This window comes from Homo sapiens, chromosome 4 (assembly GCF_000001405.40).
Source record: "Homo sapiens chromosome 4, GRCh38.p14 Primary Assembly".
In the NCBI taxonomy this organism is placed as follows: Eukaryota; Metazoa; Chordata; class Mammalia; order Primates; family Hominidae; genus Homo; species Homo sapiens.
This window is the reverse complement of record NC_000004.12, coordinates 184,489,901-184,516,250: the sequence shown is the minus strand read 5'-3', so window position 1 is coordinate 184,516,250 and position 26,350 is coordinate 184,489,901. Positions and strand designations below refer to the sequence as shown.

The window sequence follows — 26,350 nt, the reverse complement described above, 5'->3', positions numbered from 1 at the left end:
CAATCTCGGCTCACTGCAACCTCCGCCTCCCTGGTTCAAGTGATTCTTCTGCCTCAACCTCCCTAGTAGCTGGGATTATAGGCATGCACCAGCACGCCTGGCTAATTTTTGTATTTTTAGTAGAGATGGGGTTTCACTATGTCGGTCAGGCTGGTCTTGGACTCCTGACCTCACGTGATCTACCCATCTCAGCTTCCCAAAGTGCTGAGATTACAGGCATGAGCCACCGTGCCCAGCCAAGCTTGATTTTTAGCTTTGCCATATACTGATTGTGTGATCTTAGGGAAGTTATTTAACCCCTGCAGCCATGTTTATTTATCCGTAAAATGCACATGATAACAATAGTGCCCATCTGTGGTGCGCCTACTACAGTGTCTACAGAAGAGGCTATTATATTGTTGGAGTTGTGTCTATGGGGTAAAAGTGATAGGATGTGGTGATTGATTGGATCTTGAGTGTAAGGGAGTAGAAGGGGGCAAGGGTGATTCACAGGTCCTGACTTGGGTGATTGAGTGCCACCAACTGACATACAAATTTGGAGGAAAGACAATGAGTTCATGTATAAACATGCTGAGATGAAAGAGCTGCTCTGAGGGACATCTCGGTGAACCTTCCACAGAGAGTTGCATAGAGATGTCCAGAGCTGAGTTTAAAGTGAAAGGCCCATTTTGATTGAACTTTTAAAGCAAACACATTTTAAAAATCACAATATAGAAATTTAGTTGTATTTTTAATTCAGGCTCGTGTTGAATATGTCTCTCGGGGGTTCCCAATGATAGTCCAATGGTTAATTTTATTGGGCTGATATCCATGCCAATTATTAGTGACTGGAATGTGGTAGGCGCTGAACAAATATTTGCTGAATAACTCTGTTGAATATTTCCTATTTTCAAAGTTTTGGAAACTTCTGGATTCCCTGGACTCTGGCTGGGAATTCAAGACAATATCTTATTGACAATATCTTAGGTGGGCTTAAGATGCAAACTCTGTGAAATGGCTGCATGACTGGAGACCACTTTAAATTCATGCTGTCTGATGGGAGGATGGGAGGAGTTGGTGCTACTTGCTACTTGATTCAGTGACTTTGCACCAGGCTGCTGGTTCCTCTTGTCCATTCTTCAGAAAGTTTCCCCGAAATCCAGCTGCAATCCTCCTTCTGCAGTCATTCCATTTTTATATCACACGAGTAGTTGGAACCATGCAGGAAAGCTCTAAACCGTCTCTGAAAATTGGTTTCTTGAGTTTCTTTTGTGACTTTGCAACAGGGCCTGGAAGTGTCACAGGGAGAATAAGCTTGAGCTTCTCTGCTTCATGGCAGGAAGCCATTTCAGCTCATTGTTACCAGCTCAATCCGGCCTGGGCACCAAAGTATTGTGTTCCTAATCATGCAGAAGCCTGTGCATTCAATTAAAATGTTGTGTGGCTTTCTGAAAACCACCAGTTAGGATGACTGCATTCCCTTAACTCAATTGGGCCTGATGGCACATGTCCTAATACTTGCTGTTGTCTCTTATTAGCAGTTATTCCTCATCACCCAGCATCCAAGAAAACAGTTCTTACTCTGGCCATTATTTCTTCTGTGGACCCTTAATTCTCACTGTGTGTTTTCACAGCGTCCTGTGCACAGAGCATGTTGGGTTTGAATGTCATGGTTATTGAGCAAATTTGAAAATAAGTGGGTTTGTAGGAGTCAGAGCGAGAGGAGTAGCTGGTCTGGTGACAGGAGTGGGAAGTTAACGGACTGCAGGAGGGATGAGTCACAGCTGCTCTGAGCTTCAGAAACAGCTCAGCCTGGCCAGCTGCGGGAACTTGCTTCGCCATTTCAGCAAGCGAATCTGTCCATCCTCCTTCTAGTGGGGTGGTACAGGAATGAGTTGGGAAGTCCTGAATAGGAAATTCCACATTTAGAAAATGTACCTTAACATCTCAGTTCCACTCAGGGACAATCTTTGAGGACTAGTCATTAGGCTGAGCTCACAGGGGGGACCTGGGGGAGGAGCTGCCAGGATGGTGTAGGCATATGCATACACAGAATCTCACCCTTTTTTGGGAGAGTTGCACAGAAGGATCTGCTGATATTGCATATTCAAAACTAGGACATTCCTGATGCTTCGTCATTTTCTCAATTCAAACAAGCAAAAGTTCACATGTACACGCTTGCACCACCCCCTTAAATGTGTTAGGAGGAAAGAGTTCATAATAAAAAGAAGCTAAAAAAAGAGGCATAAGCAATGTGGTTGGGTTTCATCCGTACCACCCTAAGATGAGTGATGTCACTGGAAAGAAGCTCAGAGATGTCAGAGATGTAAAGAAGAGAAGAGAAGAGAAGAGAAGTAGTGTCAGACTGGAGCAACCATTCAGTATGTCAAGGACATCTTTAGGCAGAAATTGTCCAGAGAGACTCCTGGATGTCACAGCTGCCTGAAGGACTCTCTGGTCTGTGATCTAGGTGAGGCTGTCTGGTTAGGTTCAAAGGAGGAGAGTGCATGGAGGAATGTTCTCTTCCCCTTCTCCATGGCTCTTCATCCTTCATCTTCTTAGTGTACCTTACAAGGATCTTAAATGATCACTCCCTTCCTGTTCGAAGGGCTTTATTGTAAAAGTCCCTTCAGCTCTTGGGCAAATGAAGTGCGATGAGGATTCCCTACAGATGCCTCCGAGTTACAGCTCTGAGTTAAGACATTTACTGTTGGGGTCCTGGTGTCCAACTCTGGGAAACTGCAGGCTTCAGTCCCACCTTGTCTCTAAGCTGCTCCACACACCAAAAAGAGATGCCATCGAACACTTACGTGACAGTTGGCTTTGTCAGGCATACAGCGTGTTACCTGTAGAAATTCCACTATGACAAACCACAGAACCTCAGGTTTGGGACAAAGAGAGGAAGGGAATCAGATGCAGCAGCTCTGTGCACCAAACCCTCTTGTATAACCTTGTGTCCTAGACCCCAAAGGTCACCCCGTCAAGGACCTCTTGGTTCTGTGGAAAGTATTTTGCTGAAAGTTGTCACCTTGCCACCTGAGTCCCATCTGGGAAGGGAAAAATTAAATGGCTATATATGACAGCCAAATGGCATAAAGCAAGACCTTGACATTTCGCTTCTATGCCATCTCTGACAGAAACAAAAGCAAGACAGAAGAGGTTGAATATGTAACAGAAGACAATGGCAATCATGACACGACTACTTTTCTATAGATTTCCATAGAATCTAGAATCACGACTCAAATATTCCTCTGGAACACAACTAAATACCATGATTTGACATTTGGTGTTACAGATAATTGGTGCAAGTATTTGGGATGTGGCTAACTTGGTGTGGTCAACTCCAAATAATTTGAAAGGAAGAAAAAGTGATAGCTGGGCAATAAACCAGCGTTTGGCCAATAGCTGTTCCTGAAGTGCATGAATAGAAGAGGTCACGGGATCTAAGGAAAGCCTGCGAGGACCTCTCATCCCATTAAATGCCAAGTCTCATCCCAGTAAGTGCCAGGTTTGGTGCAGCTAACCTGCCAGGTGGACTTCCAGGTGAGCCTACCCCTTCTCCCTCCATCCATCTACAGGTGTGAGTTGTGCTACAACTTTGCAGCTGTGTGGTTTTAGAATCATAAAGAACAGCTTGAACTCAGGCTGATGGAGTTTTGTAAAGAAAATCTCCTTTAAAGCTAAAGTGTTATCATTTTGTGGTATTCGTTAACTCATTCCTTCAATAACATGTATTGCCTACTGACCGCGTACACTACTTGTGAGTTGGGCATTCACTTCTAGATGTTCAACATTGGATAACAACACTGAAAAATCCAAACTTTTCTCTCTCCTTTTGCCTAGAGGGAATGAGGGCTTTGCAGTCCTCCTGAATGCAGGTGTTTTCTTGTTCAGAAAGAGGACCGAAGGCTGCTCTGAGGAGAGCTTTGTCTTCTCAAGAACAGCTTTTTCAAAGAGCAGCTCTGCTAACTTGCTGCCCCTTTCTTCTCATATTCAAAGTGGACTCTGTAGGTAGGGAGCTTAATTGGAGAAATATTTTAAATTCCTCTGATAGGTGGCCCTTCACCAATTCTTGGAAGCAGAAAATATTTTGCTTTTGGTCTAAAGCAGCTCCAGGGACAATGCACAACATTCAACCTCTTGCACAGAGTGGCCAAACAGCTGCAGGTTCTTACAGAAGATGGAACACATTTTGTATTTAAAATGAAATCCCTACACCTTACAGCAGCTGCAAAAGCATCCTTGCTTTGGAGAAAAGTGGCTCTCATGAGCTAGGGCCTTTGAAATGTTACACACCAGGACAAATCCCTCCTGCTGGGAGGAAGGGGAAAATTTGCCTGCATCTCACAATCATTTCATGTGAGATCGCTAATTAAATTTACTTATTTGGGTTTCCAAATTTCCTTCTCCAGGGGCTTCCATGACATCCACATCCTCTTGCTTTTGAGAAGGCCGGTCATGTGATGAGCCATAACTATTAATGAAGATGCTTATGAAATAAAGTACTAGATATTTAGAATTTCATCCTTGCTGAACTTTTCTTCATTAGCATCAAAATAGCTGAAACGATACAAAGCCATAACAATTCCAGATAAGGCTTTAATTGTAGAGCACAGGAAAACCAAAGTAACTATGTGCCCAAGGCACTTGAGGGCATATGTTTCTTGCCCAGCAAAAACAAAACCCTGATCCCTAAGAATTCTACACCTGACATTTCTCTTGATTTAATTAGATGCAAGAAAGAAACAAAGGCTGCATTCAAATGAATGAAAGCGAATGCCTAATTATTTTTGTAGGAAATTATCCGCATGTTTTCCTGACATGTGTGTGGCTTGCCAAGCCTTTCACAGTGTTCTCACCCACATGATCTTATTTGAACCTTATGGTCATTTTGGGAAGAAAACAGGTGACAATAGCTGCTGTCGCCATTTTGCAGATGAGGAGACTGAGGCTCCAAGAGGTCACACGTCTGAGAACTGACAGTAAGCTCTGCAGCAAAAGTAAGGATTTAACCATTGCTGCTTCCCGAAAAGAATTGAAGCAGTTTGTCAGCACAGCTCATACTTGTGTGAGAGTGCCATGGTATAAGCTTGAGGGGAAAGGGAGTAGAAAGATTTAAAAAGTAGTAAAAGGAACAGAAAATTGAAATAAAAGGGTGAAACTGATGCTATAAACTTTATTTTTATTTTATTTTGTTTATGTATTTTGAGATGGAGTCACGCTCTGTCACCCAGGCTGGAGTGCAGTGGCGCGATCTTGGCTCACTGCAACCTCTGCCTCCGGGGTTCAAGCGATTCTCCTGCCTCAGCCTCCCGAGTAGCTGGTACTACAGGCACCTGCCACCACGCCCGGCTAATTTTTTGTATTTTTAGTAGAGACGGGGTTTCACCATGTTAGCCAGGATGGTCTCGATCTCTTGACCTCGTGTTCCGCCCGCCTCAGCCTCCCAAAGTGCTGGGATTACAAGCGTGAGCCACCGTGCCCGGCCTGACTCTATAAACTTGATAAAATTAATCAGAAAATATGAAAGGGGGAGACATGAAAATAAACCCAGCTTGCATCACCTTCAGCATTGACCTTGAGGTCAGCCAGCTCAGACCTGCTTCCTCAGAGTTGTTTGAGGAACAACTATTGTTGTCCTAGGATCATGTAGACCCTGTTATGAGATTATACTTCCCCTTAACTGCTCTATAGAAAACAACTTGAGAATTATGAAACATTAAGTTTTCCCTTTGAGCTACTCCTTCAGTTCCCGCATATTGATGAAACTACTGACTCAGCTGGTCCAAAGGACCACAAAAGAGGCTGGCTCACCAAAGAATGCAGTTTTCACATCCTGATGATTTCATCCCCCTATGAGCAATCAAGGACCCCAGTTATCCAGCCCCTTCCCCTTCATGATCCCCTTAAAAGCCCCAGCCAAGAACTCCTTGGGGAGGTGGATTTGAGGGTCTCCTCCTGTCTCCTTGCTCGGCACCCTGAGATTCTTAAACTTTCTCTGCTGCAAACCCTGCTGTCTCTGTGTTATGGTTCTGTTACTGCATAGTGAACACATGAACCTGTTGGTCCTATAACAAGGGACTGAGAGTAACCAGAGGGGTTATGCTAACGTGTGGCTCAGTGCAGCCAATCAGCCCCATGTGCCTCAGAATGAAAATATTAGGTGGACAAGTACATGTGCGAAGCTTCATGTTTTCTCAAGATATGATACATGAACACCCTTTGTTCGGCACCCAAACAAGTCACTAGGCATTGCTTTTGGCTGATAGGTGGGACTGACCATGTATATCAGTTCATGGGGTGACACTAAGACAATCCCAACTCAGAGATAAGTTAACCTCTCAGACTGCAATGAAGAAGAATAAAAAGGTAATGAGTGAAGTCAGACTAATGAATAAACAGTAAACTACTGACTAAGGAGTGATGCTCCTGATGAATCAGTGTGTTGTATCGGGACATCTACAGGAACGTCTGTGAGACTGAACATAATAAGTGTACTGACCTGGAAGAACATGAATCTGTTGTGCTTGCTTTATCTAGGAAAGAATGACTATGAATAGCAGGAGATGGGTGGACATAAACCCTCTCCAGAACAAATGAGACAGCCAGCATTGGGGGTAGGGTGGGAAAAGGAAATGGCAGTCACTGGTGGACACAGCTTGGGGCAGGAGCTTCAGTAGGTGTCACCAGGCCTGTGGGTCTCTGTGCTCTGTTTTCTTATTCATCCAGTAGCCTTGAAGGGACCTGGATACCTGGAAGGGGCTGCCGAGGATGGAGTAAGTAGTCTTTGGAAAGACCTAATCTTTCTTATAAAGTAATAAATTGGCTTCCTGCTTTACAGTTCAGGTCTTTGGGGAGAGTTATATAGCTATTCCTTTATAACAAACAATCACAACTTTAGTGGCATAAAATAAAAAAATTCATTCATTCTTATTATCTCCTACAGTCTGAGGATTACTGGGACTAACAGGACTTCAGCTGGGGCTTCAACGTGTGGTGTGGGCTTCCTGACACCACGGCCACTGGTTTCCAAGAGTGAGTATCCCAAGAAAAAGCCAGTAGGATATGGCATTGCCTTTTATAATCTAGTCTTAGAGTCACAGAGTGTCACTTTTCCCATCCTCTATTGGTTAAAGCAGGCACAAAAGCCCACCCAGGTTCAAGGGGAAGGGACATAGACTTCACCTCTTGATGGGAGGTGACAAGATCACATTATGAAAACAGCATGTGGGCCGAGGGGTGCTCTCACACCATCTTTGGATCACGTTAGTCCACCAGCCTGTCCTCTGGCAAATAACTCACACCCTTCCCACATGCAAAATACACTCATCTCCCACCAAAGACCCCTAAGTCTTACTCTTTTATGGCATCGGGACAGGTCAGGATGGAATAAAGCCAGGTTTCCCTCACTTGCTCTGCCATGCAGGGATGCCTGTTCCTATTCCATTGATTGGAAAGAGAGAATTTCTCTTGAAATGTTTCCTGTCCCTGCCACTTAAGCAGTTCTGGGTTTGGCTGCCCTGAATCTATGTCAAGAGACATGGAAGGGGAAGAAGAGGAAACTTACCACCTTATTCATCTTTCTTGGAGTTCGGCTCTCCCTCTCCAACCCACCTGCTGTTTTTTCCTTGCAGAGTCCCTATTAAGTTGCTTTATGTATCCACTCTGGGGTTCTTAGAAGTAACCTGTTGGGGAGCTACCATGGCATCGGCTCACTCCATTTTAACTAGAACCAGATCCACAAGCCATTTCTTAATTTTTGAGATGTTTGCCATTTGGAGAGGCTGGGAATGGCAAACCATTTTTTTTTTTTTCCTTTTTTCAAATCCTGCAAGTCCTGCCACCTTTATATTTTGCCATGGGTTCCTTAGCTCATATCCATTCTCTCTTATTTTTTATTTATTTTTAATTTTATTTATTTACTTTTTTGAGATGGAGTCTCTCTCTGTTGCCCAGGCTGGAGTGCAGCGGCGCGATCTCGGCTCACTGCGAGCTCCACCTCCCGGGTTCACGCCATTCTCCTGCCTCAGTCTCCTGAGTAGCTGGGATTACAGGTGCCCGCCACCACAGAAGGCTAATTTTTTTTGTATTTTTAGTAGAGATGGGGTTTCAACATGTTAGTCAGGATGGTCTCGATCTCCTGACCTCCTGATCTGCCCGCCTCGGCCTCCCAAAGTGCTGGCATTACAGGCGTGAGCCACCGCGCCCGGCCTACTCATTTTTATTTTTATTTTCATTTCTTTTTATTTTTTTTCGAGACGGAGTCTTACTCTGTCGCCCAGGCTGCAGTGCATTGGTACGATCTCAGCTCACTTCAACCTCTGACTCCTGGATTCAAGCAGTTCTCCTGCCTCAGCCTCCCAAGTAGCTGGGATTACAGGCGTGAGCCACCGCGCCCAGCCTATTTATTTTTATTTTTTATTTTCATTTCTTTTTTTTTTTTCGAGATGGAGTCTTACTCTGTTGCCCAGGCTGGAGTGCAGCGGTACAATCTCGGCTCACTTCAACCTCTGACTCCCGGATTCAAGCAGTTCTCCTGCCTCAGCCTCCCACGTAGCTGGGATTACAGGCGTCCGCCACTAGGCCCTGATAATTTTTGTATTTTTAGTAGAAACGGGGTTTCTCCATGTTGGCCAGGTTGGTCTTGAACTCCTGACCTCGTGATTTGCTCGCCTCGGCCTCCCAAAGTGCTGGGATTACAAGTGTGAGCCACCGCGCCTGGCCCATTCTCTCTTATTTTATTGTGGCAGCTAGAAGTTAGGTGGCCCGTGTGCCTGTCAATTCCCTCCACTCAGTCATACAGCTCATTGATACATTTTCTATTTTCCAAGTTATCTTGGGTTTCAATGTTGCTAAACTTCCCACCGCTACACAAACCTGTCTTCCTTCTTCCAGGTTTCAACAATATTTTCATCATATTTATTGAAGGCCTCACTGACAGACTTCTCAAGGCCCCTCTACCTTCTATTCGCTGCCTGGCCCCAAAGCCAGTGCCACACATTTTAGGTTTTTAACTGCAGCAGCACCTATGATGTTTCCAAAATCTGTATCATTAAAGTTTGATCAGAGAAGCAAAACCACCTTGAGCAAAACAAGGAATTTATTAAAGAGATTAGGATACACATTGTTATGAAAGCTGCAACCTGCTGCCCCTGTGTCCAGAAGTGGGCCTGAAGTCAGCAGGGCTGGCAAATGGATGTGCAGTGGGAGAGAGTAGGCGTGAGCTGCACCTGCAGGGAGGAGATGGAACTCCTGTGGATGGACTGAAACTGATGTCTTCCACGTCAGCCTCTCAGGCCTCCAACACTCCAGCGCTGATGATGAAGATGACCTGCAGAGGAGCTGGTGCCCTTCACCATGGAATTGCTCATAAACCCAAGATTCAGTGAAGCTGAAGAAGCAGTTCTGGTGGGAGCTGGAGGAACTGCAGGCACAGCTGCTGCCCTGTACCAATACATTGAGCCAGTGGCTGCCTGGCATTGTGTGTGAGCCACCACAGCGCCTGGCCCTACACAGACTTTGACTGTAAATATGACTGCTGTTTCACTTCTGCCTTCCAAATTTTGCTCAGATTTTCTGAGAAACATAGTTCAGCTTAGGTACATTGACACAGTACAAAGCCACCGCAGTGGCTGGTTAGGGAGGGATTATGAATGCAGGCTGAGAATGCACGGGAAGCGTTTGTCTATTTATAGAGTAGGTACCATTCAAGGATTTATGTGAATCAGGTGCAAAGAACTCACACAAAGATGGGGAAAGTTAGTACTTAGAAATCAGTGATACTAGATAACCAATAAATAAAAATAAACTTATTTTTAGAAAATAAGAAAATAGAAAAGCTTTAATAAAATAGTATTGGGCCGGGTGCAGTGGCTCACGCCTGTAATCCTAGCACTTTGGGAGACTGAGGTGGGCGGATCACCTGAGGTCAGGAGTTCCAGACCAGCCTGGCCAACATGGTGAAACCCAATCTCTACTAGAAAAAACCACAAAAATTAGCTGGGCGTGGTGGTACGTGCCTGTAATCCTAGCTCCTCGGGAAGCTGAGGCAGGAGAATCGCTTGAACTCAGGAGGTGGAGGGTGCAGTGAGCCAAGATCGTGCCATTGCACCCCAGCCTGGGTGACAGAACAAGATTCTATCTCAAAAAAATAAAAATAAAAATAAATAAATAAAATAGTATTGAAATGGTGAATAATACTATTTCAGCACATCCTAAACAGATCATGCAGATAGTAAGAGGTTTTCTGCATGAGTTTGCTAGGGCTGCCGTAACAAAACACCATGGACGGGAGCTTTAACAACAGAAATTGATTTCTCACAGTTCTGCAGGCAGGGTGTTCAGGACCAAGATATTGGCAGGCTTGGTTTCTCTGAATCCTCTCTCCTTGGCTTGCAGGTGGCTGTTTTCTTTTCTTTTTTCTTTTTTTTTCTTTGAGATGGAGTCTCACTCTGTCACCCAGGCTGGAGTGCAGTGGCGCAATCTCAGCTCACTGCAGCCTCTGCCTCCTGGGTTCAAGCGATTCTCCTGCCTCAGCCTCCTGAATAGCTGGGATTACAGGTGCCTGCCACCACGCCCAGCTAATTTTTGTATTTTTAGTAGAGATGGGGTTTCACCATGTTGATCAGGCTGATCTCAAACTCAGGACTTCGTGATCCACCTGCTTCGGCCTCCCAAAGTGCTGGGATTACAGGTGTGAGCCACCACGCCCGGCAGCTTGCAGGTGGCTGCTTTCTTGCTGTGTGTTCACATGGTCATTCGTCTGTGTGTGCACACGTGTAGTGTCTGTGTCTGTGTCCTAGCCTCCTCTTCTTATAAGGACACCAGTCAAACTGGATTAGGGCCCACTTTCCTGACCCCCTTTTACCTTAATTCCCATTTTAAAAGGCTTATCTTCAAATACCATCACATTCTAAGGTACTGGGGGTTAGAGCTTCAATATGTGAGTTTTAGGGAGACACAGTTGAGCTCATAACATTTTCTATAGAACAATCAAGTTTGAGACATGCCACATGCTATATTTTCTTCTTGGAAATTTGCAAGGTATATATGCATATGAATGACTGTGCAAAGTCCTGGAAAACATCCAGTATTCATCTTTCACACTCTCCCTGTTTGATCCATTATTTATTGATAACCTTCCACTGGCTTCCTTTATGCATTGGCTGAGTGCATTGAGCTGCCGCATGGAAATATGATCTGCCGGCTGCCGCTGGCAGTCAGGAAGGGAAGGTGGACATGGAGAGAGCAAGCAAAAGCTGGAGTCTCAAGGAGATGAAGTGGAACCCAGGGCTGTATCTCATTAGAGCGCATGTTGGCCTCTCATCACTTCCAGGCCTCCGGCTTTGAAGATGCTCGGGGAGTTGCTTTGGAGGGCTACGTGGAGAGAATGGGATTGGTAAGTGGGCAAGAGGGTTGGTTCTTGCTGGATGGAATTGCGTCTTCCATCTCTTCCAAGGGGACTTCTGGATTGCCAGGGGCCTGGCATGTCCTGCCTCACCCATACTTGCTGGCCAGGGTGAGTGGCCTCTCACCTGGCCTAACCTTGCTGCCCTCTTTGTTGTGCTCTTTGTGGGTGAGGAAAAGAGCAGAGCTGCGGATGCCACTGGAGCGTGGCCAGGCTGGGTGAGGACCCACACAGAAAAGTGTGGGCAGGCGTGGTGGGTGGGGGCGGGGGATAAGGCATGGGCCCTGGGCAGTCAGCCAGTGCCCCCGTCACGCCCTGGCTCCAGGTGTCCAGCATCAGCCGTGTGCACATCCCACCTCGCAGGCCTCTCCCGGCTGCTGGCCCACTTTCTGCATGCTACTCCTACTTCTCTGACCTCCTGCTCAGCTCAGCTATCCTAGCTCCGAGTTTCGCCTTTCTTCTTGAATACAATCAGAATTCTCTCTGTTGGCCCTGGACCCCCATGCTGAACAATTCCCATGGTGCTGGCCTTCTCTCAATCCTCTGAATTAAACCCCAGACTCACTGCAAGTCTTCAGCCAAGTGAAGACTTCCGGTGGCCTCTCTGCCACCCTGGCACTCGAGGAAGCAGATGCTTCTCTCTCTTCCTGTAGTGCTCTTACCATGAATCATCTCCAGGTCCTCCCAACAGGATCAGTCAGCTCCTCATCTCAGCTGTGCTGTAACCCTGGTATCTCTGCAGCCTGGTGAAGATGACGGTGTTTTAATGAAGCGTACATCTCTACAGTAACTGGCCTGGCACATGCAAACAGGAACAGCAGCTTCCTCTCCTGCAAGGCACGGTGCAGATTGCTTTCCACGCATTATTTCTGCTCCTCGCACCACCCTCCCCAACCCGAAAGATAGAGCATATTGTCCTAATTTTACCAAGCAGAAAACTGGCTCCCAGAGAGCAGCTCTGCTCAGCTAGGGCATGTCAGAGCACTGCCTGGGACCCACATCTCCTGACTCCAGGGCCAAGGCACCTCTGGGCCCTCACACGGGCATTAATAGAGATACATTTCATGTTCAAACCAGCCCTTTGGCCAAGCATCATCCTCAGTCTCTCAGAACTTACTGCATTTTCTTCTAAACCCCAATTCAAAAGTTCCATATAGCATGGTGGTTCGTGCCTATAATCCCAGTGGGAGGCCAAAGTGGGGGGACTGCTTGAAGCCAGGAATTTGAGACCAGCCTGGGTAACAAAGCGAGACCCCATGTGTAAAAAATAAAATAAATGAAAAATTAGCTGGGCGTGAAGGTGCACTCTTGTAGTCCCAGCTACTCCAAAGTCTAAGGCGGGAGAATTACTTAAGCCCAGGAGTTCGAGGCTGCAATAAGTCATGATTGTACCGTAGCACTCCAGCCTGGGTGACAGAGAGAGACCCTGTCTCTAAAAAACAAAAGAAATAAAAAATTAGCTGAGCAGGGTTGCACATACCTGCAGTCCCAGCTCCTTGGGAGGCTGAGGCAGGAGAATTGCTTGAGTCTAGGAGGTCAAGGCTGCAGTGAGCTGTGGCCGTACCACTGCACTCCAGCCTGGGCGACAGAGCAAGACTCTGTCTCAAAAAAAAAAAAAAAAAAGTCCCTCAGTAGGCTCTGTCATAATACTCCCCTTGGTATTCACTGCACTTGGTAACCCTGAAACAATTCCTACAGTGAACCCCATTCACTGAATTGCTTTGGGAAACGTACACTTTCTAAATTAAAGCTGTCACATTAGTGTGAGAGTTATGCTTACCCAGGAGGTCTGGACGCATTTCTCTCCTGGTTTGGCCTTGATCTGTTATCCTTGCGGCTTCCTTTTTCAGAATCTCCCTCTCTCGTCTCTGCCTCCACAGTCGGTCCCCACCCCACATCTCACAGAATGTATTTGCATTCTAAGCAACATCCCTTCAAACCTCACACATGTCTTTTTCTCCTATATATATTTAAAAGTAATACATTTAAGGATGTGCCAACTTAATTAAATACTCTTGAGATACTCACAAAATCATGGGAGTTGTCCATGGTGGCATTTCTTCTTTTTATCTTGAGATGGAGTCTAGCTCTGTCACAGTGGTGTGATCTCGGCTCACTGCAACCTCTGCCTCCTGGGTTCAGGTGATTCTCTTACCTCAGCCTCCCGAGTAGCTGGGATTACAGGCGCCCACCACCATGCCTGGCTAATTTTTGTATTTTTAGTAGAGATGGGTTTTCACCATGTTGGCCAGGCTGGTCTGGAGCTCCTGACCTCAGGTGATCCACCTGCCTTGGCCTCCAAAAGCGCTGGGATTACAGGCATGAGCCGCCACACCCAGCCCTGTGGTGCACTTCTTAAGCAGAATTTTGTGTTCATGCCATCGAGAAAGGGCTAGTAAAATATTTTGTATTTCTTTAAGACTTAGTTTAAAAAGCGTTGTAAAAATATTTTCTCACCAGATCCTTAAACAATCTCTAAGAGGATTAGGCTGGTTGGTATTTTACAGATGAGGAAATAGGCTCAGAGTGGGTGGGTGACTTGGAGCACCCTGCAGCTGATGTGGAGGGAGGTCTTCTGAGCCAAGGTCCGTGCACATTGTCTACACCACACCGCACTACACGTGGTGTAGACCATGTGCACTGACTTTAGCTCGGAAGACCTCTCTCCACATCATGGATAAATGTAGCTTTTATCCAGAGGGCCTACTGACGCCCTGTTTGGTGGACCAGTGCCCTGTAATAAAAGCAAACCTTATCCTCTGTTGGAAGTCCCATGTCCACAATTCCGTTAAGAATTCTGGCCTGTGCTTGCGCCCTTGCTGGCTATAATGTGATGGAGATGTGGTTGAAACGACCACGGGGAGAGTTTCAGTGACATCTCGTTTTCTCCCCTGAGTCTGGGATATGGAACACACAGTCTCTTCCTTCAGCTTCTTAGTCTCCTGGGTGGGAGAGGGGAGGAACATCCATTTATATCAGGGGTGTCCAATCTTTTGGCTTCTTCCCTGGGAAGAAGAAGAATTGTCTTGGGTCACACATAAAACACACTAACGATAGCTGATGAGCTAAAAAGCAATCACATACCCAAAAAAATCTCATGATGTTTTAAGAAAGTTTACGAATTTGTGTTGGGCCACATTCAAAGCTGTCCTGGGCCTCTTGCAGCCCATGGGCTGTGAGGTTGGACAAGCTTCATTTACGCCAATTGCAGGAGAAATCACTAGGTTGATGGAGTTCAGAACCAATCGTGGCCTCAAGAAAGCTCTCATTGCCTCGCTACTGCCAGATAAAAATGTAGAATCTGAAACCAAATCTGTCTATGCAGGGTTTGGAAACTGGTCACTATGGAAGCAGATACAGTCTGACAGTATATGACCTTCTGCTGGTTTTGTCCAAGTTAAGCCAGACTTTATGAGAACAAACCAGCCACGTGAAAAGCTAGAGAAGAACATACCAGGAATAAAGACTAGGAAACAGGGAGCCCTGAGGAAGGAATGCACAGAGTGAGTTTCAGCAACAGAAAGGTCTTCATTGTGGCTAAAGCAAAATTGGCAAACTTCTTTTGTAGTGGGCCAGCTAGCAAATATTTCAAGCTTTGTGGGCCATTTAGCCTTGGTTGCAACAGCTGAGCTCTAAAAAATAAGAGCTGCTTCTTTAGCCTAAAAGCAACCCTGGACAATACGTAAATGAATGGGCATGGCTATGTTGCAACGTAACTTTATTTATCAACACTGAAATTTGAATTGCATCTCATTTTCATGTGTCACAAAATATTGCTTTTCTTTTTTCTTTTTTTCTAGCCATTTAAAAATGTAAAAATCATTCTTGGTTCAGAGGCTGTACAAAAACAGGGAGTAGGCTGGCTTTTGCCTGTGGGCTGTCGTGTGGAGACCTCTATGCTAAGCACAGTGAGCAGGGAAAAGAATAGTTGCAGATGAAATTAGAAAGTTAGGCAAAGGCCAGACCATATGCAGAGAGAGGTTTTAAGCCATTGAAGGGAGTGTGAATTTTATTCTAATTGCTATGGGAAATGTGTGAAGAACTTTAGGCAGGAAAGTGACATGATATATTTGAATCACACTCTGGTGCCTCTGAGCAGACTGAACTATTGGGAAAAAAAAAAAAGTAGAAGCAGAGATACCGGTGAGGAGCCTGCTCCAGCCGACCAGGCAAAGATGATAAAACACGACACTGGGAATTCCATCCCCAGCCTCAAAACGGATGACCTCTCAGGATGAGAGAGTGTTTAAGTATCCAAGAGTTCCCGGCACATACTTTATACTCAGAATGTTAGCGCCATGTGCTTTTTTCTCTTTCTTTGGTGGAAAAAGCTAAGGATACTTGGCTTTGTCCAAATTTCTAAAATGGGTCGTTCTACTTAAAGCAGGTGAGATAATGTCATTAAAAGCAAGTAGACATATGTTTAAGTTCTGTTAATGACTCTGTGACAGAATACAGGCACACACACACACACACACACACACACACACACACACACACACATATATATGTTAACTTTAGGTGTCAGTGACTAGGCTAAAGGATACCCAGGTAGCTGGTAAAACATTATTTTTGGGTGTGTCTGTGACTGTATTTTAGGAAGAAGTTAGCATTAGAGTCTGTAGGCTGAATAAAGAAGATCTTCTCTCATCCATGTGGGCAGGCATCATCCACTCTGTTGAGGAAGTGCCAGAATAGAACATAAAGCCAAAGGAAGGGTGGTCAAACATTCTCTGTTTGAATGAGAACAGCCATCTTCTCCTGCCCTTAGCCATCAGTGCTCCTGGTCCTTGGACCTTCAGACTTGAACCAGGACTTACATCATCAGCTCTCCTGGTTGTCAGGCCTTCAGACTTGAACTGAATTATACCACTGGCTTGCCTACTTCTCCAGCTTACACATGGTGGTGGGACTTCTTGGCCTCCATAAACACATGGGCCAATTCCTGTAATAAATTGCTCTCTCTCTCTTTCTGTGGTATATATATATGTGTGTATACACACATATATATGGTGTATATATGTGTGTGTGTGTACACAGACACACATACCTATTGATATATGGTATTAGGGTTCTCTACAGAAATAGAACCAATAGTCTAAATACCCCTGAGGGTCATGGGAATCTAAGCATGTCAATGGAGGCATTTTTACATTATTAACTGAAGAAAAATGTGGACTTTTAATGATTTTTTAAGATTAGGGAACAAAAATAAGTCAGGAGTCAAATCAGGACTGTAAGGTGGATGCCTGATGATTCCCTTTAAAACTCTTGCAAAAATGCCCTTGTTTGATGAGCAGAATGAGCAGGAGCATTGTCCGGGTGGAGAAGGAGTCTCTGGTGAAGCTTTCCTGGGCAATTTTCTGCTAAGGCTCTGGCTGGCTTTCTCAAGATACTCTCATCATAATAAGCAGATGTTATTGTTCTTTGGGAATCCAGAAGGTCAACAAGCAAAATGCCTAGCGCATTCCCCAGAATGGTCACCTTTGCTCTTGACCAGTCCTCTTTTGCTCTGACTGGACCACTTCCACCTCTTGGTAGCCATGGCTTTGATTGTGCTTTGTCTTCAGGATTGTACCGGTAAAACCATGTTTCCTCTCCTGTTACAATTCTTTGAACAAACGCTTCAGATTATTGATCCCTCTTGTTTGAAATTTCCATAGAAAACTCTGCTCTTCTTTGCAGCTGATCTTGGAGCAACAGTTTTGGCACCCATTAAGGGGAAAGTTCACTCAACTTAATTTTTTAGTCAGAATTGTGTAAGCTGAACCAATTGTGATGTCTGTAGTGTTAGCTATTGTTTCTGCTGTTAATTGACAGTCCCCTTTAATTGGGGGCATGAACAAGACTTTTTTTTTCCTTGCAAATTGATGTGAATGGTCTGCTGCTGTGGGCTTCATCTTCAGCATTGTCTCATCCCTTCTTGAAACAACTTTTTGGGGCTCCTGGAGGCAGCAGAGGCTGAGGCCTGGAGCCAGGCTGGGGCAGCCCTAGGAGGCGTCTTAGCCAAAGCAGGTGTCCTTCGGGGGCCACAGGCCGCCCACCTGCCTCAGGCCCTTGGCCACCCCTCCCCTCCCTGCGCCCAGTCCCCAGTCGTGCCAGAGAAGCTGTGCTACTGCCTGGTGGGAATTGGGGGAAGGGAAGTCGAGAAGAAGGTCCTGGGGTAGAGCTCGGGCCTGCTGCCCACACAGACTGCCGTGGCTGAGAGAGTAGGATCTGGCCGTCCCTGTGCCTGTCTTCTTGGAAGGAGCAGGGGCGCCTTGTAGCTGCACCTGTGAGGAGCAGGATTCTGCTGCAGGCACTCAGCCAGCAGCTGCAGGCTCTGTTGTTTTTACACCGGTGACAAATGACATGGCCAGACACACTGCAATGTCTGAAGAAACCTCTGTAGAAGAGCAGGATGCTGTGGACGCGCTGTGGCCCAGACAGAGGCTGCCAAGCAGATGGAACCTGCACTCGGCCAATTTGGCCAAAGAAGCCCCCATACTCTCCGTGAAAGAGTTCCACCAGAAGCTGTTGTGTCAGTAACAGTCTCAAAAAAAAAAAAAATCAAACAACAACAACAACAACAAAAACCCCACAAACCCACCAACACTAAAGATCAGTTTTGAGTCTGATTTGAAAGCTAGGATCCAATTCTGCAGAGGCATTGACATGGCGAGACACCATCCTAATAGCCAGATCTGCAGGTTCCTCCATCATGCCAGTGAGAATGCTCCATTCACCATTCCTCAGCTTCTTGTTCTGGTTTCAGAGTTCTGTCTGTATTGGAGGAGTGTTAAAGCTAGAGGGGTCTTTACCCACTTCCTCTTATGCCCAGATCTGAATATGGAGGTCAAGAGGGGAAAGTGACATGTCCTAAGTCTGAGTAGAGTGAACACCCTGCAGAGAGGCCTGGCCTGCTCGCTCGTCAGACTCTGGGACTTGTGCTGTGAGTTCTTTACCCCTTTATAGGTTCTATACCTACTTCATTTTGTGTATTTACAAAGATAAAAGCATTTAATCATTAGTTATTAATGTTAAGTACACAGCAAAAGCATAAATATGACCTTTATTCTTGGCTTCAAACCTGATCTAACTTGCTGAATTTCTTATGGGGTCATAGATTCAGGGAGATTCAGGGTGAATGACTGATTGTATTTGTTTTCTAGGGCTGCTGTAAAAGATTACCACAATTTGGTGGTTAAAAAAAACAAACAAACAGGAATTTATTCTCTTACTGTTCTGGAGACCAGAAATCTGAAATCAGGGTGCCAGTAAAAGGCCCTAATCCTTGCAAAGGTTCTAGGGAGGATCCTTTCTTGCCTCGTCCAGCTTCTGGTGGCTCTTGCAGTTCCTTGGCTTGTGGCTGCATCACTCCAATCCCTGCCTCCATCTTTACATGGACTTCTCCTCTGGGTATGCGTCTTCTCTTCTATCTCATAATGTCCTTAGATTTAGGGCCCCCACCCATGTAATCCAGGATGATCTTCTCATCTTAACATCCTTAATTGAATTATATCTGCAAAGACTCTTTTTTTTCCATAGAAGATTGCATTCACAGGTTTTGGGTGTTAGGACATGGACATATATTTTGGGGGGGTCACCATTCAACCTGTTGCAACTATGGACTCTGTCTTGGACAAAAGGTTACTTTAGGAAATCAGTGGCATAATTTGTCTACGTATAAGATGCAAGTTGATGCATTGCCCTGGAATCATTTCCTAATTGCTTCCAGTATGCAAATCTTACCTCTTTGATTAAGTTCTAAGTTGTATGTTCAGGGCTTTTAAAATTAAATTCCTGGATCTAATTATGAACTAGTGTCATCCCATTGTCTTGGCTTGCAAGATTCCGATAAGTTTGCTGTTAACTTTATTTTTGTTCCTTGTATATAATATGTTATTTTCTTCTCTGGCTGCTTTAAAAATTTTTCTCTTTATCATGAGTTTTCAGAAATTTGATTATGATATGCCTTATTGTGTTTTTTATTTGTTTGATTACCTTGCTTATGGTGTGTTGAGTTTCTTGGATCTGTGATCTTAATTACTTTCATCAGACTTGGAAAAATTTTGTTCATTATTTCTTCAAATATTTTTCTCTGGCCTCTGTTTCTCATTCTGAGACTTCAGTTATATATATTTTTCAGACAGCTTTGCATTGTCCCGAGAGTCACTCAGTCTCTGTGCATTTTTTCTTTCAGTCTTTTAAAAAAAAGTTCTGTGCTTTATTTTGGACACATTCGATTACTATGAGTTTCTGTCCCTGTGTCTTTTCTGTCTAATTTTCTGCTAATCCTATCCAGTGAATCGTGAAGAATAAAGTTTTATTTTAGAATAGTCATAGATTTATAGAAAAATTGTGAAGATATACTCTGTATATCTGCTTTGCTATAAAGAAATGCCAGAGACTGGGTAATTTATAAAGAAGAGAGGTTTAACTGGCTTACGGTTCTGTAAGCTGTACAAGAAGCATGAATCTGGCATCTGTTTGTCTTCTAGGGAGGTCTCAGGAAACTTTCAGTCATGGTGGAAGGCAATGAGGAAGCAGGCAGTACATCTTACATGGCCGGAGTAGGAGGAAGAGAGAGAGGGGAAAGGTTCTACACATTTTTAAATGACCAGATCTCACAATAACTCACTCACCCACTATTGCTAGGACAACACCAAGGGGGATGTGTTAAGCCAGGAGAAGCCACCCCCATGAGCCAATCATCTCCTACCAAGCCCCACCTCCAACTTTGGGGATTACAATTCAAAATGAGATTTGGGTGGGAACACAGATCCAAACCATATCACCCCAACCCAGTTTCAATTTTCTGCATATGGCCAGCCAGTTTTCCCAGTGCCATTTATTAAATAGGGAATCCTTTCCCCATTGCCTGTTTTTGTCAGGTTTGTTGAAGATCAGATGGTTGTAGATATGCAGTCTTAGTTCTGAGATCTCTATTCTGTTCCGTCGGTCTATGTGTCTTGTTTTTATACCAGTACCATGCTGTTTTGGTTACTGTAGCCTTGTAGCATGGTTTGAAGTCAGGTAGTGTGATGCCTCCAGCTTTGTTCTTTTTGCTTAGGATTGTCTTGGCTATACAGGCTCTTTTTTGGTTCCATGTGAATTTTAAAATAGTTTTTTTCTAATTATGTGAAGAATGTCAATGGTAGTTTAATGGGGATAGCAATGAATCTATAAATTGCTTTGGGCAGTATGGCCATTTTCACGATACTGATTCTTCTTATCCATGAGCATGGAATTTTTTCCATTTGTTTGTGTCCTCCCTGATTTCTTTGAGCAGTGGTTTATAGTTCTCCTTGAAGAGGTCCTTCACTTCCCTTGTTAGCTGTATTCCTAGGTATTTTATTCTTTTTGTGGCAGTTGTGAATGGGAGTTCATTCATGATTTGCCTCTCTGCTTGCCTGTTGTTGGTATAAAGAATGCTTGTGATTTTTGCAGATTGAACATATTTTTTTAAAAAGATAAAAATAAAAAATAACAATAAAATAATACAAATAAAAATACTGTATAACAACTATTTACATAGAATTTACATGGCATTATGTACTATAAGTAATCTAGAGATGATTTACTGTATACAGGAGGATGCACATAAGTTATATACAAATACTGCTCTGTTTTATGTAAGGGACTTGAGTATCTGTGAATTTCCTCATCCATGGGGTCCTCAAACTAATTGCCCTTAGATAATGAGGGATGACTATACTTTATTTATTTTAATGCTCAAAATTTTACAGCATTGACTATCCTTAGTTTGCTACTGTGTTCCTCTGACATTTTACTTTTTAGCACTTTCTTACATACTACCATTTTTTATTAGCACTTTTTAACTTCTGGCACTATAAGATGCTCCAGGCTCATCTTGTATATTTCCTGCCCCAGTCCTAAAATCAGTCATTTCTCCAAGGAGGCCTGGTTCCTTTTGTTGGAGAATGGTTTTAAAAACCAAGATCTGAGCACTGGCTCTACTAAGTGAAATTTTCATTTCAGATGGTGTACTTTTTTTTTTTTTTTTTTTTTTTTTTTGAGATGGAGTCTCGCTCTGTTGCCCAGGCTGGATTGCAGTGGTGTGATCTCGGCTCACTGCAAGCTCCACCTCCCAGGTTCACACCATTCTCCTGCCTCAGCCTCCTGAGTAGCTGGGATTACAGGTGCCTGCCACCACACCCGGCTAATTTTTCTATTTTTTTTTTTAGTAGAGATGGGGTTTCACTATGTTGGTCAGGCTGGTCTTGAACTCCTGACCTCGTGATCCACCCACCTCTGCCTCCCAAAGTTCTGGGATTACAGGCGTGAGCCACCGCGCCTGGCCCAGATGGTGTACTTTTATCTTAGAAATTTCATTTGGTTCTTTTTTGAAAATCTTCCATTTATTTCCTCATTAGCTTCATATTTTCCTTGAGATATGCATTCACAATCATAGTAGCTCTTTAAAAATATTCTTATCTACTAGTTCTATCATCTCTGGCTTTTATCCGTGATTGTCTTTATTGATTGATTTTTTCTCTCGATTATGGGTCATATTTTCTTACTTTTTGACATGTTTGGTAATTTTTTATTGGATTTTAGACATTGTGAATTTTACATTGTTGTGTGTCTGGATTTTTGTTTACTTGTTTTTTTATCTTACTTTCATAATATTTTGGTTTTGTTTAGGCAGGCAGTTATACTTGCAGATCAGTCATCCCTTGAGACCTGTTTTTTAGTTTTGCTCAGGCAAGACTAAAATAGCTTTCAGTCCAGAGATTGTTCAGCCTTACCAGAGAGACATGAATACCTTGGATAATCAGTAAGGCCTCTCCATTCTGGCTCTCAGGAGCTCGATCAATTCTAAGGCCCATGCGAGCTCTGGGAATATTTAGTTTAGCATGTTTTAGTCATTCTTTGTCCAGCAGAGTGGAATATTGTTGTCCACATACATGGCCCAATACTCAGCAAACGCTCAAGTAGACATACTCTGTATAATCACGGCCCAATACTCAGCAAATGCTCAAGTAGACATACTCTGTATAATCACGGCCCAATACTCAGCAAACGCTCAAGTAGACATACTCTATATAATCACTTCCCTTCCAGAACTCTGCTTCACAACTTCCAGCTGCCTCAGCCTATCTGATCTCTGATGTTTGTTTTCTCAACTCCCTTTCCTGGCTCTTTTTGAGTCCTCCCATCATTGCAACTGCAGTACAAAAATTGCCTCTGTCATAGATGATCACAGGGCTTACTTCGTTTGTTTCTTTCTTCTCAAGGATCATAGTCTTGTGCTGCTTATTACTTAATGCCTGAAAATAATTGCTTTATATGTTTTGTCCAGTTTTCTAGTTGTTTTCTCCAGGATTTCAAGTCCAGTGCTTTTACTCTCTCATGGCCAACGGTCCCTTTAGTTTTTATCGTGATGATGGTCTTAATCTCCACTTCTGATCTTCATTCTAATGTTGTGCTATACATTGGGATGCCTTTTAAATTTGGAAAATCATGCTCTTGGAAATTTTTTAGGAAACGTTCTTATGTCTTTGCTAACTTCCTGTCTATTGTCATCTAAATTTTCATTTTCTGGAATTTCCGTTGGATATTGGATCCCTTGGATTGAGCCTCCATTTTCCTTGGTTCTTTCTTTCATTTGTTTGTTTTGGATACTGCCCATTTCTTTATTATTTCCTTATATCTTATATGAGATTTACTTGACCTTACCTTCTGTATGAGTCCACTTTCACATTGCCATAAATAACTACCTGAGACTGGGTAATTTATGAATGAAAGAGGTTTATTTGACTCACAGTTATGCATGGCTGGGGAGACCTCAGGAAACTTACAATTATGGTGGAAGGTGAAGGGAAAGCAAGGCAGGCCTTACATGGCAGCAGGAGAGAGAGAGAACAAAGGGAGAAGTGCCATCCTTTTAAACCATCAGATCTTGTGAGAACTCCGTCACTAACACAAGTACAGCATGTGGGAAACCACCCCCATGATCTAATCACCTCCCACCAGGTCCCTCCCTCGACACGTGGGGATTACAATTTGAGATGAGATATGGGTGGGGACACAGAGTCAAATCATATCATCTTCCAATTATTCTATTGAATTTTAAATTTCTATCATATTTTTATTTCTAAGAGCTTTTCTTTGTTCTCTACTTATTCATTTTTATATTACTTTGCTCTTATTTCACAGATGCAATATGTTCTCTCATATCACTAACGAGGTTAATTAAAGTTTTTTTGCAGTCTTTTTCCTTGTATCGTCTTGCTTTTTTCTGGTTCTTCTATTCTGTTTGTTTTCATATTGGTCATGTAAGAGTTTTTCCTTGAGTGTCTCTTCACCCGGGGGTGGAGGGGTCACTTTTTAAAAGTAAGGCACCAAGGGCCAGTGCAGTGGCTCATGCCTGTAATCTCAGCAATTTGGGAGGCTGAGGTGGGAGGATCACTGGAGCCCAGGAGGTTGGGGCTGCAGTGAGCTGTGGTCATGCCACTGCACTCTAGCCTGGCTGACAGAGTAAGACCCTGTCTCAGTAATAATAATAATAAGAAGAAGAAATCAAAAAGGCTGACCAGAAAGCTCTGTGTACATGTGTTGGGCTTATGATGCTGGTGGCCTTCGTTGAGGAAAATTGAGGGACCAGCTCCACTGAGGAAAATTGAGGGTCTCCACATATCATGAGTTTGCAAGTATTTTCTCTGGCATAGCATCCTGCAATTTCTTTTCTGAGGATTTTACTTTGGTTGCTTTTCTGGGTCTGAGCAGTGGGAGGGGGATGGAGATATCTCACTATTTACTAAGCTGACTGTTCCTCAATTCTTTTGCCTGGAAAAAACTCCATTTTTGTCCTCTTCAGTATCTGCAGCAAGAGGAGTCAACCAGCCACTTGAGAACTGGATGGAGGTTGAGAATTGGAGAGACTTAACTGTTCCCTATTAGCTTAATCCTGCTGTCCTTCTGTTCAGTTTCCCCTGTTCCTGTGCCTTGCCTTTGAAGATTCTATGTGGAAAATTAGCTCACTTCCCATAGAAAGCCCCTCAACTCCCTTTGTGGGGAATGAGGTTTGACTTTCTTTCTCTCTGCTAAGTCATTTGTCATTCCTTTTTCCAAATTCTTTTTTCCTCATTGACACATAATAGATGTACATATTTTGGGGGGTACATGTGATAATTTGTTGCATTCATACATGTGCAAAGATCAAATCAGGGTAACTGGGATATCCATGACCTTAAATATTTATCCTTCTTCCAAAATTGTGTCTTCTCATTTCATGTTTACAGATATTTCTTAGTTTCCTAAGGATGGGGTGTATTTCCGTGACTTGTTCTCCTTGCTGTTTCTGAGTTATTTTTGAGACAGGGCAGCCGGTGAGTATGTCTTTACTCTGCCATTCTGAAACCAGGTCTCTTACATTTTTATAGCAGAAAACATGGCTCACCATATCATGGATTTCTGTAGTTCCTTTGTTTTTTAAAGTTTAAAACCTAAAGTTAGAGATAAACAAACTTTTAATCTACTTTGGGCTTTACATTGGCTAACTGGAAGAGATGAATTCTATAGAAAAAGGGCTATGGACACATACCACCAAGCATCTGGGTAGAATCCTACTTTAGTGCACAGGTGTTCTGCCTGTGTGACCACAAGGTAAACATCTGGATATTAGACATTGTCTTCGTTAGTTTTCACCAGATGTTTGGTGTTACGGAATAGGCATAGCCATGTAATTAAATTAACTCGCACGTGAAACACTGAGTTAACAAATAACCGGGCGCGGTGGCTCACGCCTGGAATCCCCGCACTTTGGGAGGCTGAGGCGGGCGGATCACGAGGTCAGGAGATCGAGACCATCCTGGCTAACACGGTGAAACCCCGTCTCTACTAAAAATACAAAAAATTAGCCAGTCGTGGTGGCGGGAGCCTGTAGTCCCAGCTACTCGGGAGGCTGAGGCAGGAGAATGGCATGAACCCGGGAGATGGAGCTTGCGGTGAGCCAAAATGGTGCCATTGCACTCCAGCCTGGGCGACAGAGTGAGACTCTGTCTCAAAAAAACAAAAAACCAAAAACAAAACAAATAACTTGAAGCTACTCTTCCGTACATCCTGCATGTGACCATGAATGAGTGAGCCTGTCATTACGTCAGCCCATCCACTGATGAATGCTATAAGAGGGGCCAAGGAATTCATGTCTGCGGGCACTGACATGAAAAGTTACTGACTGTAACTTTTCTCTTTCGTTCCTAAGGAATCTGTTAAAGTATCACAAGGAGATAGTTTTCCATCTATGCTTTCAGAGGCTGAAGAGCTGTCTTAGAGATTTGATTAAATGCACATATTTCTTCCACATGTTGGATCTAGGATTCCTCCTACCATCCCTAATTTAACTGGGAAACAACCCTTCTTTTATAACTCTACTGATATCTTGAATATATAATTCAGCAAAATCCCCTTGGCTTGAAAACTGAGCTGGATTGGACTAGAGGACCGAATGCGTTTGTCAGATTGGTGCTCTCGGTGGAGTGAGAAGATGTTTAAGTCTGAAGGCCACTGTCAAGGATTTTTAAGGCTGGATATTAGCAACAGATACATATACACACATAAATCTACTTTTGATTACTCTGCTCTTTATTTTCAACCTGTTCTGTAAGGTAGAGCTCAAATCCCACTCCCTGGCGGAAGCTTTCTGAGCCTTTCCTTGGGCGTCCTCACTGGCTTCCTTGTTTACGATTGGCAGTTGGTTAGCTCTGTGCTTGACTGATGCCAGTGTCACCTTGAAATGAGGGACCTCTATCTCCTGTACCTCAGAAGAGGTACAGTGGAAACTGGATGAAGGCACCTGCTCTTCCCAAAGCCTCTGAACTGGCGCTGTGGGCTTAGAGTAGTGTTGAGCAGAAATGTACACAGCACTTTGTTCTCCAAGCGCACTCAGTGCGACCGGCCCCACCAGCGGCTTCCTTCCTGGGGATGCATCCAGCCGGCCTGGAAGGTGCTGGGTCGGTT

General features: G+C 44.0%; 1 long non-coding RNA gene across 1 annotated transcript in view, besides 7 other annotated features; it reads left to right on the top strand.

Annotated features, from left to right (window-relative positions):
* LINC02427 (long intergenic non-protein coding RNA 2427) overlaps window positions 1-9,791 on the top strand; it is a 31,124-nt gene extending 21,333 nt beyond the window's left edge. Inside the window, exons 2-3 of the long non-coding RNA NR_147158.1 lie at window positions 6,926-7,014; window positions 8,875-9,791. This is a non-coding gene — a long non-coding RNA (long intergenic non-protein coding RNA 2427). The remainder of the gene's footprint in view (window positions 1-6,925; window positions 7,015-8,874) is intronic.
* Window positions 1,574-1,733: an enhancer, noted in NCBI's record as "active region_22228". NCBI's record gives its function as "activates an Ori minimal core promoter by ATAC-STARR-seq in GM12878 lymphoblastoid cells {active_cell/tissue: GM12878}" and the evidence as "EXISTENCE:reporter gene assay evidence [ECO:0000049][PMID:35858748]".
* Window positions 1,744-1,813: an enhancer, noted in NCBI's record as "active region_22227". NCBI's record gives its function as "activates an Ori minimal core promoter by ATAC-STARR-seq in GM12878 lymphoblastoid cells {active_cell/tissue: GM12878}" and the evidence as "EXISTENCE:reporter gene assay evidence [ECO:0000049][PMID:35858748]".
* Window positions 1,864-1,953: an enhancer, noted in NCBI's record as "active region_22226". NCBI's record gives its function as "activates an Ori minimal core promoter by ATAC-STARR-seq in GM12878 lymphoblastoid cells {active_cell/tissue: GM12878}" and the evidence as "EXISTENCE:reporter gene assay evidence [ECO:0000049][PMID:35858748]".
* Window positions 9,178-9,387: an enhancer, noted in NCBI's record as "active region_22225". NCBI's record gives its function as "activates an Ori minimal core promoter by ATAC-STARR-seq in GM12878 lymphoblastoid cells {active_cell/tissue: GM12878}" and the evidence as "EXISTENCE:reporter gene assay evidence [ECO:0000049][PMID:35858748]".
* Window positions 11,227-12,426: an enhancer, noted in NCBI's record as "CDK7 strongly-dependent group 2 enhancer chr4:185424979-185426178 (GRCh37/hg19 assembly coordinates)". NCBI's record gives its function as "activates an origin of replication core promoter dependent on BRD2, BRD4, P300/CBP, MED14 and CDK7 cofactors, with strong dependence on CDK7, by STARR-seq in HCT116 cells {active_cell/tissue: HCT116}" and the evidence as "EXISTENCE:reporter gene assay evidence [ECO:0000049][PMID:35650434]".
* Window positions 12,134-12,203: an enhancer, noted in NCBI's record as "active region_22224". NCBI's record gives its function as "activates an Ori minimal core promoter by ATAC-STARR-seq in GM12878 lymphoblastoid cells {active_cell/tissue: GM12878}" and the evidence as "EXISTENCE:reporter gene assay evidence [ECO:0000049][PMID:35858748]".
* Window positions 12,254-12,343: an enhancer, noted in NCBI's record as "active region_22223". NCBI's record gives its function as "activates an Ori minimal core promoter by ATAC-STARR-seq in GM12878 lymphoblastoid cells {active_cell/tissue: GM12878}" and the evidence as "EXISTENCE:reporter gene assay evidence [ECO:0000049][PMID:35858748]".